Here is a 16,563-nt window from a genome sequence, read left to right as displayed (position 1 = left end):
CTTCCTAAATATCTAAAATGTTGAATTTATTGTATTCTAATTTTATGAAATGTTATGAACTTCATTGATTTAAAAAATTGAAATAATTTACCCTGGCGCAATGGCTCATACCTGTATAATCCCTGCACTTTGGGAGGCTGGGGTGGGCGGATCACCTGAGGTCAGGAGTTCGAGACCAGGCTGGCCAACATGTTAAAACCCTATCTCACTAAAAATACAAAACTTAGCCAGATGTGTGACACATGCCTATAATCCCAGCTGCTCGGGAGGCTGAGGCAGAAGAATCGCTTGAACCCGGGAGGTGGAGGTTGCAGTGAGCCGAGATCATGCCACTGCGCTCTAGCCTGGGTGACAGAGTAAGACTTTGTCTCAAAAAATAAAATAAATAAAAATTAAAAATTGACATAATTTAAATTTTTATAGTGAAGTTGTAAGAATAGTATAAATAATTTCTATAAATTCATCACCTACATTCACCCATTAACATTTTACCAGTATTTGCTTTTTTATTCCTTCTTTGGATATGTTTCCTTCTTTACACATGCACTTTTTTTGTTTTTTCTCTTGAGACGGAGTTTCACTCTTGTTATCCAGACTGGAGTGCCATGGCGCGATCTCAGCTCACTGCAACCTCCACCTCCCAGGTTCAAGCGATTTTGCCTCAGCCTCCTGAGTAGCTGGGATTACAGGCACCCACCACCATGCTTAGCTAATTTTTGTATTTTTAGTAGAGATAGGGTTTCGCGATGTTGACCAGACTGGTCTTGAAATCCTGACCTCAGGTGATCCACCCGCCTCAGCCTCCCACAGTGCCGGGATTACAGGTGTGAGCCATCGCACCCGGCCTACACATGCACTTTTGTTTGAATGATTTGAGAGTAACTCAGAGACACAAGCTTCTATTTTCCTAAGTACCTCAGTGTGAATTTTATAAGAACAAGGACATTTACCTGCATAACCAGTAATATAATTATCAAAATCAGGAAAGTTAACATGATAGAATACTGTAATCTACAAATGTATTATTCAAATTTCATCTATAGTCCAATGACATCTTTAGTGACAGTTTTTTTCCTAGTGCAAGATCATTTATTGCATTTAGTTATAATGTCTCTTTGATATACTTTATGACAGTTCCTCAATCTTTCATAATACTGGCATTTTTGAAGACTGTAGGACAATTATTTTGCCTGTTATCCTTCACTTTGGCTTATCTGATTTTTCCTCAAGATTAGATTCTAGTTATGCAGGGGTTGTTTTAGCAGGAATATTATCAGAGCAAAGTCATGCCCTTTTCATGGCAGCACAGGAAGAGATACATGATACTGTTTCATTGCATTCTTGGTGATAGTAGTTTTGATAAACTCTTGTTGATATATAAAGTCATGCTAAGAATCTATTGGTTCTTAAAGCTTAAAAAATAATATTTAGGTTTTTTAAAATTAATGCTGATGTTTCCTTCTGTTTTAGATGTAATATATTAATAAAAATATGGTTGTCTAACATAGGAGTTGATTATGTCTGTATATTCTCATTAAGATGGAGGATACCTCTTTCCCAAGTGGAGGGAATGCTATTGGTGTGAACTCCGCCTCATCTAAAACAGATACAGGCCGTGGAAATGGACCCCTTCCTTTAGGGGGTAGTGGTTTAATGGAAGAAATGAGTGCCCTGCTGGCCAGGAGGTAAGGAATTTCATTATAATGGACATGCCCAGAATTGAGAGGATTTTAATTGTATTCCAAATACAACTAACTAGATGCACTTCTTTCCTCGTAGAGAAGTGGTTTTTATACTGAATCAGATAATATTTTTAAAAATCGGATTTGCCTTCTTTGTAGGAGAAGAATTGCTGAAAAGGGATCAACAATAGAAACAGAACAAAAAGAGGACAAAGGTGTAAGTTAATAAAGATAGTCTACCATACCTTAAAATATGGAATTCAGGCACAGCTCATTCAGGAAATAGTGTCAGCATTTATTTAATTTGGGCTTAATTAGTTTGAACTTATATTTGCTAATTTTTAACTATGCATGTGAAGTGGCTTGTTTTGACTGTTATTTATAAATTTTTAATGGCAGTCTTAGTAAAGTGAGTTGAATATGTGAAATTATGGGAAAAGCATTGAAGTTCAAACCTGTGGAGTTTAATTCTGTTCCTTAAATGAGTGAATGACATTTCACTACTTTTTTCATCTCTTAGAATCTCAGTTCCCTTGCATTAATTTAAAAGGAAGGAATTCGCCTAAATTCATATGTTTCCCTTAGGAGCTTGATGGTTATTGGCTGTGCCCCTTCAGAGTGTAACCTTCATGCCCTCCTCCCTGATTCAGCTGGGCAAACTCTGCTTTGTCTGTGCTGTATATTGGTGTGCAACAAATAATATGTTCCCCCTGCTCCATCTGGCCACCTTAGATGCCATTCCTCAAATCTGTCTCTCGTGTCTGGCTTTGTAGCATTGGCTAGTGAAAGTTCTCAAGGAGAACACATGAGGAAAGGAGCTGTGGGGAGGGTTGAAGGGAAGATGGTTGAAGACAGGAGAAGAAAGTCTAAGCTGAAATGAAAGGGAGAGAAGACCGATGAAAGAGAAAGTGGGGAGTGGCAGAAAGAATATTAGAAGTGTTCGTGTAAAACACTAAATGTATATAGCAACAGGGGACTGGTAGATGTGATATTAATATATATCTGTATATTTAGGAAGATTCAGAGCCTGTAACTTCTAAGGCCTCTTCAACAAGTACACCTGGTAAGTTCAAGATAAATATTTTAACCTTTATAAACTTTCTCTAAATATTAATACTCCCCAGTTAAAAATTCCCCCTTTCCCCATATTTGGACCAAGTGACTGGACACTAAAATGCCAGAGTTCTTTGTTCCCACCTGAAAGCATTCACTTTTTTCCTCCTGGAAGCTGCTGTTACTTTCTTGAGGTTACTTACTAAAACAAGGAAAATATTAATGTACTATTAGATGACAAGAGTATTTTTCATAATTGTTTTTCTAGAGGTAAAAATAAAGTGAGCATGTTAGTTAGTACTACAGTCTGCTTCAGAACATTCTCAAATTGAGAAGGATGTCCTAGCCATTCATTTGGGTGATATTGATAATTAAGGGAATAAAGTTTCTGATTTGTAAACTTAAAAAGTCTCCTTAAAATTTTGGGGAAGTGTTCTTGAATTCAGTGAAATTTCTGACATTGAGAATTCTTGAGCATCTGATAAATCACCTAGAATATTAACAAAAGTATATTTCACTAGAAGTACTTGATGAGTACTGTATCCAAGATGAGAATACGAACTCATTACATATTCACATGTTATTTCTTCATATTTGATTAAAGACTAAGGGCTGGACTATCTATTGAACTCCTTATCTATTCTGGAATGAAATGACATAAATAAACTTGATGAGTTAATATCTAGAGTGGTCCATAAGAAACCATTATAGAGAAATGCTTATATTCCTACAGTTTTGATTTAAAGACAACCAGCTGCATCTACAGTTCCCTTTTTAATTTTCATTTTTTTAATTTTTTTGAGATGGGGTCTTGCTCTGTTGCCCAGGCTGGAGTGCAGTGGTGCAGTCTTGGCTCACCGCAACCCCCACCTCCTGGGCTCAAGTGATCCTCCCACCTTAGCCCCCCAGCCCCCTAAGTAGCTGGGGCCACAGGCACATGGCACCACTCCTGGCTAATTGTTTGGATTTTTGGTAGAGACAGGGTTTCACCATGTTGCCCAGGCTGGTCTCAAACTCCTGAGCTCAAGTGATCCACCTGTCTCAGTCTTCCAAAGTGCTAGGATTACAGGCGTGAGCCACAGTGCACCACCTAGAATTCCTTTTTTTTTTTTTTTTTTTTTAAGTACCTCTGAAGTTTTTGTTTTTGTGATTGTAATCCATCTTTTCACCACTCCCCCCATTCCTCATTCTTATTATTAAATGGTGACTCTTCAGTAGGTTGATTGCTATACCATAATTAACATCATGGCTTTGTTTTCCCTCTGAATAGGACTCAGTTTGTTATTTTCATTAAAAATTCACTGGTTTGTGACCCACTTATTTTAGCTTTATCCTTCTTTCTGTAAGCCAAAATTAATTGTATGTACTCTCATTAGTACCGCATAGATGTTGTAAATCCGAACCATATTTTGGGCTCACAGAACCTTTAGAATATGATGAGAGCTATAGATCCTCTTTCCAGGGAGGAAAATTGTATTTTTATTCAGATTTGTTCATAATTTCAGAATATTCATGAATTTCTTGAAGGTTATCCATGGACTCCAAGTTAAAAATTCCTTATCTAATATATAATCCCTTATATAAAATATGAAAAACTAAGGCACAGGTTTTGTGTGTGTGTCATATATATAAAATCAAAAAGGGCAGGGCCTGTTTTCTCACTTGTTTCATTCCGTTTTTAAACTGACATTGTGTCAGGCACCTGAAGTGAAAGGTACAGGTCCTAAGCCCAAAAAAACTCATGGTACAGCTGGGAAGATGAGACACACAGGTGTGAAGTTAACCTTTTTACAACCACTTGTTGAATACTAAGTAGTGTGTCACAGAGGGAGGAAATGACACATACGAGTCACCTGAGTCAACTTTGTAGGGAAAAGTGACATCTTAGTATTCCTTGAAGAGTATTTAGTTTGGCTGAAAGTGAGGGGAAGGTGTGATATTTCAGGATGTAAGTATAGCATGAGCAAGGTATGGAGTTGGAGATGAGCAAGAAGAGATTAGGAAATAGGAAATAGACTAGAACGGGGAATTCTTTTTGAGGAATATTGTAGGGAAAAGGTTGAAAATATGAGTTAGAAACAAAAATGTTGAGAGCCTTTTATAAAATTATCAAGAGTTTAGACTTTATCCTGCAAGTACTGAGTTCAGTGGACATTTAATCCACTGAAACTGTTTGAGGCACATTAAAATGGCACTTGTGATTTTCCCATTGAAACTAGGGAGGATTAAGATAGGCAGACCAATTAGGAAGCTCTATACGCATGCCAGTAAAGATCCTCTGAAGGGAACCCAGCCTTGCCCCTCCTGAAACACACCCGAGCTCCTTAGAGAGAAGAGGCCCTTGCTTCTCAGCTTCCACAGGGCCAGCTGAACCAGATGAGCCCTTTTAAGACTAAAAGATAGTTCTGGTTTGGCTGATTGAGAAAGGACCTCAGCCAGCTGTTAAAAGGTAGCACTTGCTACATCTTAACCACTTTGGAATTACTCCCTCATCCTTCCACCCGCCGCCTCTTTAGTGACAGTGTCCGATGACCGTTCCCTTCCCTGTCCCGGTGTCCCTCAGTTTCATTCAGGACTTCCCTTTTTTCACCTGCTTGGGCTGGTGTCACTTGGATATGTTTCTGATTCGGCCTGTCCCAAACCCCATCCGATTATTTGATCTTCCTGGTCAAGTGTGGAACTTGACACCACTGTGGCGGTCATTGAGAGGCTGTGTTAGCTGTTAGAATACAAAAGAAGGAATATAAAAAAGAAGGAATTTAGTTGATGAGGAGTAAAGCAAGATCAATAATGACTTTAAGGTTTCACATCTAATGCCTTCATGCAACAAGAAATCCAGAACCAAAAGCAGGGCTTCATGGAAGAGTGTGAGTTTATTTTTGCGTTAAGTGTACTTTGAAGAGACGGTAAGCTACCTGAGAATGTGCAAAAGCCAGCTGAGGAGCTGCATTGGAACTCAGAGCAGTTTTAGTTAAAACTATACAATGAGATCACAATTCATGAATAGACTTCATTCTCCTGTGGCCCAAATTCTTTCCTCCATGAGAAGATTCCACTTCTGATTTTACCCAGTCATGTAGTGAGGCCAGTGACAGCATCAGTGAGTCAGCCCAGATTAGAAAAACAATTCAAGCACAATAGACAGCCAACTAGTGAGTCACTGACTACATAGTGTCTTTTGTAATAAGAGCTTAGAGCGAGCTTGTTTATATTTAACTGGAATAATCGGCTAAGGCCCAAGAATTAATTGTTTAAGAATCAAGGAAGTACAATAGAATTTCAGGATTCTGATATTTATTTTGAGTTGTTCCTATTTTTTTCCCCAAGAGGGACTATTTGGATTTAGATTAAATGTTGAAATACATGAACATATTATAAGTTATACTTACTGTTTTTATCATTGGCACTAAAAAATAATTTAAAACAGTGTCGGTAATACTATTCCATTTTAATTAATTGAACTATCCTAATTTTAAAATTATCCTACTTTATTCTTACTGTCCTTTCTTTGTTAGAGAAACTCCTTACTATCCTAAGGTTATAGAATCATAATATTTTAGACTTAACAATGTAAGTTTTCCTTGGAAACTTACTGTACTAGCTTATAATTTCTTCTCATTTTAAGGTCTGGCATTGTGCAAATTAGAGTCCTTACAGATTTCAATTAAAGTTTAGAATTTAAATTTTTATTTATATTACTACTATGTAAACAGGTATAATGAGATTTAGTATTTTGTTATTTGTTTTATAATAACTCTGGAAGCATTTATTTATTTAATAGCTTTTGTTTTTTATTTTTAAAGAACCAACAAGAAAACCTTGGGAAAGAACAAATACAATGAATGGCAGCAAGTCACCTGTTATCTCCAGGTATCAATTTTTTTCTCTAAGTTTTATATTTTATTTGTATAAAAAAAAATTAATGCATTCTTAGTGTAGAAAAAAATTGAATGGTAAGAAATTATACAGAGGAGCCCATAAAACTCTCGTGATCCTCCTAGTATTGGACAACCACCAAGCCTCATTATATATTACTCATCTACATTACTAGTGATTGATAAATTCTACCCTACATTTATTAACCAGATGATCTGAGATTTTAAGATAGCTTTCTTTTTCCCAATTTGTATTTTGAAAAATTCAAAACTACAGAAAAATTAAAAGGATAGTACAGTGAATATGCGTATACCCATTTCCTAGGTTTAACAGTTGTCAACATTTTGCCCCACTTGTCTTAAATATCTACCTATCCACACTTTTTTCCCCTCTGATTAGTTTGAAAGCAATTCACAAATAAGAACTGTTTCACCCTAAATACTTCAGTGTTTTTTGGAAGAACCAGGACATCTGCTATGTAACCACAATACCATTATTACTCTCAAGAAATTTAACATTAAGCAATAATATTATCTACTATAGTATATAGTCACATTTCCCCATTAGTTCCAATGACATAGATTTTATGTATATATATTTATGTATATATATAATTTTTGGAGCCTTTTTTAAACCTGAATATCAGCTGGAGAGAAAAGAGAGCAAAATAAAACATACATCTTTGAATTTGTAAAGTAGAAACATGTATTTCCCTATCTCATTTGAAACTTGTAAGTGTAATCAAGTTAGAAAAGATAGTATCCAGAAACAAGGCTAGTTAATACTTGTTTCTACAAGTACATGTGGGCATATTTAGGCAAATTTGTTCTTCCTTTAGCTAGGCATACTTTATTTTCATGACTAAATTTATATCACAGCTCCTGAACATAGATGAAACCTTTTCTTGGTTTATGAGACAGTTTAAAGGACTTGTATTTTTCCCAGAAAAAAAAAAAGTATGTATTTAGAAACTAAAAGGTATTTTGTCTTTTCTTTCTGAGCTATTTGCCTTATTTTTGTCTCGTAAAAAGCAACTTGACTCTAATTATAGAAACCTAATAAAGATAAGTACAGGGATAGACTTTATATTATCACAGACCTGTTCTGTGTTAGTCTAAGTCTGAATTTGGATTTGGCTTCCTATGTGGTTCTTTCTGCTAGTAGGAAAGAAGATTTGGTAGTGACACAATTGTTTAAGCTCCACAAAGAAACTAGGCCTTTTGGAATGTATAAAAGCTTTTAGTTTCTAAGTGATTGAAAGATGATCATATTTTACTTTAGAAGAAAGGGGGAATTGCTTTTGGTGGACATGTGTTTTCAGTAGAGTAGAAAAATTGCACATTTATGTTTCTCAGACTCCTAACTGAGATGGCCTTCTAACACATCTCTACTAGTTACGGATTTTCTTCAGTAGCACATTATGAAGTGCTGATTTATTAAGCCCATAACAAGGAGCTGGCTAGGCGTGGTGGCTCATGCCTGTAATCCCAGCACTTTGGGAGGCTAAGGTGGGTAGATCACTTGAGGTCACGAATTTGAGACCAGCTTGGCTAACATGATGAAACCCCATCTCTACTAAAAATACAAAAATTAGCTGGGCATGGTGGCGCACACCTGCGATGCCAGCTACTTGGGAGGCTGAGACACAAGAATCACTTGAACCTGGGAGACGGAGGTTGCAGTGAGCTGATATCGCGCTATTGCACTCCAGTCTGCAGACCTGTCATGTGTCATTTGTCCTTTCTCTTCATCATGCTTCATTGATCTGCATTTCACAGTGAACTAAAAGCTAAGCCTACGTTGATGGCAGAAGTCATGTCTTAGAAGGGACATGGACGAGGTTCTCCAAATGGAATACATTCTTTGATGTATTTGGTCCATTTAGTAAAGGAAAAGTTGTTCTTTGAAAGATTTTTTTATTTTTCCTAATTCCAGGGTAGGGAAAAAAAGATTTTTTTTTCAGACTTGGAAATTTAATAAGTGCTCTAAAGGTCACCATTTTGAAAATAATTTTATATAGATGAGTTGAATCTTGATTCTTAATATCCAGTAGTGCACCATAATCATGTTCCAATTCTGTTAGGTGGTTTTCCTTCCCTTTCCCAAAATAGAAATTCTGGAACTCCTGATTATTTCCTGACCACTCATATATCTTTTGATAGATTTGATCCAACTACTGATATATAGGTTTTAAAATTTCACCAAAAGCTGTTTTAAACCATAAAGGATTTTTAAAATATGTTTAAAAGAGTAAGAACTATATTGCTTTTCTTCCTAAGTTATCTCTCCTGTTCCTTCGGAAAGCAAGTGTATTAAGTATGTCTTATCCTTGCATTGTAGTGAAGGTCCCCATTTCTCTTTGGAATAGCTTTGTCAAAATTACGTTAGTGGTAAGATGGATTAATGTCCCATAATATGCATGAGATATTGCATATTGCTGTATTTGTTAAGTGAATATGTCAGAGTAAAAGCAAGACTGTTTGGTTAAAAATGCTTTAAACTATGACTGGATTATAACGTTTGGGAAGTTGGTGCATTCATCTGTGGTTATTAAGACCTTACAGATCTTGTATTCAAGATGGGAAAACTAGTCCTTTACATGCCTCCTGAGAAGAGTTAATTTTGTATACTTTTATATACTTACTGTGCCTACAACCTATATAAAAAGTAGCCATTGTGTAATGATTTTTAAAATTTTCTGTAACTGGTATCTTCACATAACTAAAAGTAATCTTAAAATATCTTTTATTGGGGAAAAATTGGTTATTTTAAGGTTAATAGACTCAATTCTTGTTTTGTTTGCTATTAACAACCTATAAAACAGTAACATAATGAGAATTATTTTTTAAAGTTCTATTGTGTATCCCTTTCAATGGTTTTCCCCTTCATAGACGGGATTCTCCAAGGAAAAATCAGATTGTTTTTGACAACAGGTCCTATGATTCATTACACAGGTATCATCCTGCTGTGACGTTGTGATTTGAGACTTTTAAATAACATGTTCAGGATAGGGCTGAGCTTTTTCTACCTGGATTGGTAATCACCACAAGGGAGATTTTTTTTTCTTTATTTTGAATACCTTTTAAAAATTCTGCCATCACTTCACAGTTGGATTCAAGGATAAATACAAATGGTAAACATATTAGAAATACTAGACTGGGAATCTAAGGCCACATGTATTATCTAGGCCATTTGTAGCTTAAGCGTTTTCTTTTAAAGGCTGTTCGCCTTATGATTATAAGACAAGGTTTCAAAAAAGTTGAATAGAAGATCCTTTTCCATCTGTTACTGGAACATGGACTAATATTAAAGCCATGGTTGTGGATAATTGATTATTTGAGGAAAATCTCTGTTTCCTAGATACTTTGTAGTAAATTATCTTGGACAGTTTAACATCTAACACCCTGAGTAGATTGTTTTCTAGGATGAGCCCTATTATACCATTTTTTAATTAAGAAGACTTAAGAACTAGTTTTTTCTTAATTAAAAAAATTGACAGCTAAAAATAATCCTGCAATGCTTTTCAGTTACTTACACAATTAATTTGACAGAATAGGGACTTAAATATAGTAGTACAGTCATTTTATAGGCAGATGTTTAAAGGCAACGCTCTCATCATAAAAAAATAAAAACTGACCCAGCACCTGGTGGTTCACACCTATAGTTTCAGCACCTTGGGAGGCCAAGGCTGGAGGATCATTTGGGGCCCGGAGTTCAAGACCAGCCTGGGAAACATAGCGAGACCCCATCTTTACAAAAAATAAAAAAAAATTAGCTGGGCCTGGTGGCTTGTGCCTATAGTCTCAGCTACTCAGGAGGCTAAGACAGGAGGATATCTTGTGCATAGGAGTTAGAGGCTGCAGTGAGCCATGATAACACCACTGCACCCTAGCCTGGGTGACAGAGTGAGACCCTCTTTTAGGAAAAAAAAAAAAAAGTGAAATAAAAACCTGAGAAACCCTCATTTTGTGATCAATTATGATGAAAACCCATAGGTTAGAAATAACTGAAATATATTTATGTTATTTTACACATCTATTTTTTAAAAAAATATACATCAAGTTCACTGGGAATATGAATTAAGTGGTGTTCATAGTGGATGTCTATTGCAGTGAGTTGGGAGTTCTGTAAGCAGACTCTGGCCAAATTCTTACTTGCTAAAATTATTTTTATGCTATTAATGATCAAAATACTTGACAAGTTAATTTTGTCAGCCAGTTAAATCTTCACAAAATGTTTATATTCCAGTAGTGAAATAGTTTTGTGTTTTTTTTTTTTTTTTTTTTGAGGTGGTTTGTTTTGGCCAAAAGATTTCTTTAGAAAATTTGCTAGTACATAGAAAAGTAGCATTTAACAATGAGATTTTTAAGGCTGGGTGCCATGGCTCATGCCTATAATCCCAGCACTTTGGGAGGCCGAGGCAGGAGGATCACTTGAGTCCAGGAGTTTGAGACTAGCCTAGGCAATGTGGTTAAACCCTGTCTCTACAAAACATACAAAAATTAGCTGGGCATGGTTGCATGTGCCTGTGGGAGGCTGAGGTGGGAAGAAGACTTGAGGCCAGGAGGTCAAGGCTGCGGTGAGCTGAGATCATGCACACTGCAGCCTGGGTGACAGAATGAGACCCTGTGTCCAAAAATACATATATTTTTTAAATGTAGTAAATCTGCTCAGTTATCTTGCTGCTTTCACACATAGTACCCCCTGGGATAATGTTATTGATAAACTTTTTTGGTAAAAGTTAAGAAAAAAAGTGGTGATTACATCTTTCCTTCAGTATGAAAAGTTCCCCCCTTTAGTTAATTATCATGGTGGTGGTGGTGGTGATGGATTGCATGTTAGCATGAATTAAATTTTTAAAAATTTGCATGTTTCCACAATTGTTTATTACATAACAATAATTTTTGCATTGCCTAGTAAATATGGATATATTCATAACATACTTGCCCAATTAAATAGCAGGCTGTAGTTCATGTGAATTTCAGAGGTATTCATTATATAACTTGAGAAAATAACTAGCTAAATGGGCCACTTAAATGGGAAATGTAAAAGAAAAGCAGAGTATGAATTATAGTTTAATTCTAGAGAACAGGAATAGGTAGCATGAGTGAATATATGAAATAACATCCTAAACTTTAAGAATATTTGCCAGAAGTGACTCTGCATTTTATGGATCTAAGTAAATCTTAAGTGACCTTGGAATTTAGTAGTCTTCCCTAGCAAAGTAAGAAGGTGTAGCCTCACAAGAGGAAAGGAAATATTTCATATAAATATTATTCCCTACAGTGCCTAGCTCAGTGCTTATTGAATGAAATTTTCTGGAAGTTATTTTTCCCCCTATTCATATAAGCAGATACCTAATAAAGTAAAATTGGACGACTTGCTTCCTAACAGTCTTTTAAGCAGTAATACGTTTTGATAGTAAAGCAGATTAACAGGCTGGGCGTGGTGGCTCACACCTACACCCAGCAATTTGGGAGGCTGAAGTGGGCAAATCATGAAGTCAGGAGTTTGAGACCAGCCTGGCTAACATGGTGAAACCCCGTCTCTACTCAGAATACAAAAAAATTAGCCAGGCATTGTGGTGCACCTGTAATCCCAGCTACTCCAGAGGCTGAGGCAGGAAAATCACTTGAACCGGGGAGGCGGAGGTTGCAGTGAGCCAAGATCGCACCACTGCACTCCAGCCTGGGAGACACAGCAAGACTGCATCTCATAAACAGCAGCAACAACAACAACAAAAAGCAGATTAACTCAGTGTTTAATCTTCAGGAACCATGCCTATGGGTTTAAAGTATTTTATGTCTTATAAGAATTATAAATTATAACTTTGAAAAATTTATTATGCCTTTTGGGTCTTGCTTCAGATTGCTAACATTGGTACTCTGCAAAATTGGGAATATATGATTTGCCTGATGGTTTTAAATTGCATTTATTTGTGGCTCATAAAGGAGGGCATTTACTAGACTAAACCAGAACCCGGAGGAGTGCCCATTTAAAACTCTAGGTTTTCCACTGGGGACTCTTTTATTGCCGGACTTGGAGAGGGCGCCATGACTGGTTTATTTGGTGTTGAAACTTGTTTAAAATATACCTAATCATTGACTTATTAAGAATTATAATAGAAACTAAACTTTTGAAAGTGCAATAATAATTGACAATCTGCTTCTGTCTGGCATATCCTTTTTATTTAATAAAATAAATTTATGGAAGTAGTTAGCCTGAAACACACCATTCAAATGACGTCTCCATAAAAATTTCACAAGGAAATAGTCACATAGTCTAATCTAATAAACATTTTTAAAACATTTTTTATTTTGATGCTTGAAATGGAATAATATGTATAAAGCAAATCATGCTCACTAAAAATGTTTTCTTCCTGCAATCCAAGGCATCAGCTTTGTAAGCTGATTTATGTTAGTGTAAAACATTCAAGTCTTTATGTTTCTCCTTTCACTGGTTTGTCCAGGTATTTAAGTAGATAATGTAAAAGTTCAAAAGAAAGACAAAACAAGATTGTGTTATTTGAGCCTCAGATGTTTCAGCTGGCCTCTTCATCACTGTTTTGGTCAACGTGCCACGTTACCTGGTTACCTCATGCCCAAAGAATACTGTCTTCTACTCTTTTCTGAAGAAGTCTCACCATCTTGTCACCTTTTTCTAGTTCCTTTATAAATAAGAAATACTGAGAAAAGTGAAAAAATGTTGTTTTATGTTCTAATCAGCCCTACAATTTTGATAATTTTTTAAGAAAATGGCTTTTTTAAAGAAATGTATTTAAATCTGGTGTTGGGTTGGTAAATTTGCAATTATTTATGAACTCATTAAGTATTAAGAATGTTGTTTACCTGTCCTGGAAATCTCATTTATACAGACCAAAATCCACACCCTTATCACAGCCCAGTGCCAATGGAGTCCAGACGGAAGGACTTGACTATGACAGGCTGAAGCAGGTGGGTGCTCAGTGGCAGCTTTCCTTTATTTGTACTTGTTTCTTTTTAAAAAATATCCCATATGCATATCTTTGACATGGATCCTGAATGTACTTAGAAAGACGATAGAGCTATTGTTATACAAATTAAACAGTGGCATTAGTAGTACTGCATTTTTGCAAATCTACACTTCCGGTTCATTGAGTTTGCATGAAGGTCCAGAGGTAGTGGAGGGTGGGGTTGTGGTTCAGTGATAACAGCATAAGGTGTAAATGTAAGTGCATGGTACGCAGTTGTAAAGAAAACAATGGGCTTTTACTTTTCAGTGACTGTCTTGGCAAAATTGAACCCAACAAATCTGATTTTGGCAAGAGTGCAAGGAAACAGGCACTCTTCTATACTTCTGCTTTCTAAAAAGCAGTTTGGAAAAACAGAATCAAAAGCCTGAAAAATAAATGTCTTACCTTGAATTCTGTGATATGAATTCCAGGAATTTATTTAAAGAAAATATTATGGAAGTATACAAATGTATAGTGGGTGGAGTAGAGGCTCTGTAGGCTTCAAGGGATCATAATTTAGTATGCTTAATAGTAAATTGTGAACAGTTGCCTGTGTTAGGTAACAAAACAAATGTGTACAGTTATCTCAATTTTATAAAAAAGAAAAAGATACTGTCCACGTTTGGATTCATATGCCTTATAGTTAATACCTATGTACTCAGGAAAAAGTAGTAAGTGATAAGATTGTGATTTAAAATACCTTATTCACAGAAGAGGTGAAGTACATTTTTTAGATAAACTGAATTTTCATACTGCAAAGCTATTGGAAAAGTTAAATTGAGTTATAAAATTTTAAAGGGGAGCACGTGGCCATTGAAAATCAAGCCTTGTTTTGCCGTGTACTGAATATGGCTTTCTTGAAAAATATTTTAAAATAGAGCACTTCCACACGCTTCAAAACATGGTCAGTTCTTGGTCATATGAAGAATTGGAGGATAACAGGAATAGATTTGATTTGGGGGATGAGATGTAAAGAGTAATTTGGATCAGGGCATCTGTGAGTCTATTTAATAACTTCTGTGTCTCAGTCTTTTCCATTGTTAAAATGAAGACAAACTAATTGATAGTTTTATTTTAAACATGAGAAGCTTTTCAAAAGGTAAACTTTAACAGAGCAATTTAATTTTTCCTGGGGTATTCAGTGTTAAAGTCACACAATTCAAAACTAATTCTTCCAAAGGACAGCTGTTACTTTTCACCCATTAAAATTGTGTCACTTTGTCATGGGACCTCTGATCTTGAATCTGCAGGGGGTTTTTTTATTTCTTTGTTTTTTGTTTTTGAGACAGAGTCTCACTCTGCTACCCAGGCTGGAGTGCAGTAGTGCAATCTCAGGTCGCTGCAGCCTCCACCTCCCGGGTTCAAGCGATTCTCCTGCCTCAGCCTCCTGAGTAGCTGGGATTACAGGTGTGCACTACCACGCCCGGCTAACTTTTGTAGTTTTTGTAGAGACAGGGTTTCACCATGTTGGCCAGGCTGGTCTCAAATTCCCAGCCTCAAGTGATCTGCCTGCCTTGGCCTCCCAAAGTGCTGAGATTACAGGTGTGAGCCACCACACCTGGCCAAATCTGCAGTTCTTGAAGGAGGGCCCAGAGCACCACAGTTAAATAGAAGTATAATGTGGGCTACGTATATATTTTAAAATTTTTCTAGTAGCTGCATTATTTATTTATTTATTTTTTTTTTGAGACAGAGTCTCGCTTTGTCGCCGAGGCTGGAGTGCAGTGGCGTGAGCCACCGTGCCTGGCTGTAGCTGCATTTTAAAAATACAAAACAAAAGGACATTAATTTTAAAACTTAATTATTTAAAGTATGTTTTAATATGTAGTCAATTTTTATAAATTACTAACGAGTTATTTTACATTATTTTCATCATACTAAATCTTTGGAATCTGGTGTGTGTTTTGCACTTCACAGCACATCTCATTTCAGATTAGCCTCATTTCAGGGGCTCAGCAGCTGCATATGATTCGTGCCTGCCGTATTGGACAGCATGGGTCAACCAGGGCCTCATCCACCTTCCTGCCTACCCATTAGGGCAATCCCTGAGGTCCCTTCAGGGAAATCCTAGACTCCTTGAAATATGGTTTGGCAGCTATGGTGATTCCTGAGAAATCTCCATACATACTTCAGACAAAAGGACAGATTTGCCAAGAGCCAGTTTTTCAGTTTACTGTAATATCTTCCTCCTCTAAACTTCCTTTGCATCACCTCTCAGACTGTTCCCAGAGGACTAGATTAAAAGCACAGCTGTTATCATTTCTAGAAACTATCTGACTCATACGTTTCACTGGATGACAGAGTAATTATCTTAATTTTAGGAAGCATTCTATTTCACATATTGCTAGGCTAGAATAAGCCAGGATTGGGAAGGGCAGAATATTAAAACAAAATTCACCAAGGCTAGTCTTCCAAGAAATAGAATTGTGGCTCTGGAAACAAAAAAAACTACACATCATATTTCATGACATTCTTAAAATTTTATGAGTAAGAATCTCTTTAGTGGTAATTTTGTTCTGTATTTCTGGTATTTTTCTCTAATATTTTAGGACATTTTAGATGAAATGAGAAAAGAATTAACAAAGCTAAAAGAAGAGCTCATTGATGGTAAGTGTCTGGACAAATTTACTATTCCTATAAAACAATGTTTAAGATTGACCATTTTTAAGAAAATGCAAATAAGGAAATACCCAGCTGATTAGTTGAGGGCAATGACTTCCATAGTCCTGCCCTTTTAGGATTAGGGTTTTGGGGAGGAGGTTTCTCCTTCATATAATGGAAATTATTTTTATAAATAGGGATTAAACAATATCCCTAAGTTTCAGGTGTTGTCTTTTCTTAGATGGAAAACCACATGAACAGATCTTTCTCTAGGTTACCTCTACTCACCTATCCCAGTGTCCTCTTGTTTTTGAGCCCACATAATCAGTGTTTTCATTTTGTATACAAAAGGAGAAAATA

The 16,563-nt window shown here is 36.2% G+C and overlaps 1 protein-coding gene across 35 annotated transcripts in view, besides 1 other annotated feature; it reads left to right on the top strand.

Moving 5' to 3' along the window:
• ENAH (ENAH actin regulator) overlaps positions 1-16,563 on the top strand; it is a 167,050-nt gene that overhangs the window by 139,323 nt on the left and 11,164 nt on the right. For 19 of the 35 annotated variants that reach the window (XM_047424938.1, XM_017001748.2, XM_024448308.2 and 16 more), the window contains 7 exons: positions 1,540-1,685; positions 1,842-1,899; positions 2,697-2,745; positions 6,539-6,605; positions 9,503-9,565; positions 13,486-13,564; positions 16,152-16,209. In XM_047424938.1, the coding sequence (XP_047280894.1) occupies positions 1,540-1,685; positions 1,842-1,899; positions 2,697-2,745; positions 6,539-6,605; positions 9,503-9,565; positions 13,486-13,564; positions 16,152-16,209 (520 nt within the window). The remainder of the gene's footprint in view (positions 1-1,539; positions 1,686-1,841; positions 1,900-2,696; positions 2,746-6,538; positions 6,606-9,502; positions 9,566-13,485; positions 13,565-16,151; positions 16,210-16,563) is intronic. The other 16 variants (XM_017001752.2, XM_017001751.2, XM_024448319.2 and 13 more) reach the window with 1 other exon arrangement.
• Positions 4,969-6,168: an enhancer, noted in NCBI's record as "MED14-independent group 3 enhancer chr1:225696090-225697289 (GRCh37/hg19 assembly coordinates)". NCBI's record gives its function as "activates an origin of replication core promoter dependent on BRD2, BRD4, P300/CBP and CDK7 cofactors, and independent of MED14, by STARR-seq in HCT116 cells {active_cell/tissue: HCT116}" and the evidence as "EXISTENCE:reporter gene assay evidence [ECO:0000049][PMID:35650434]".

This window comes from Homo sapiens, chromosome 1 (assembly GCF_000001405.40).
Source record: "Homo sapiens chromosome 1, GRCh38.p14 Primary Assembly".
NCBI classification, from domain to species: Eukaryota; Metazoa; Chordata; class Mammalia; order Primates; family Hominidae; genus Homo; species Homo sapiens.
Note: the sequence above shows the minus strand (reverse complement) of the source record. Positions and strands in the feature narration are given on the sequence as shown.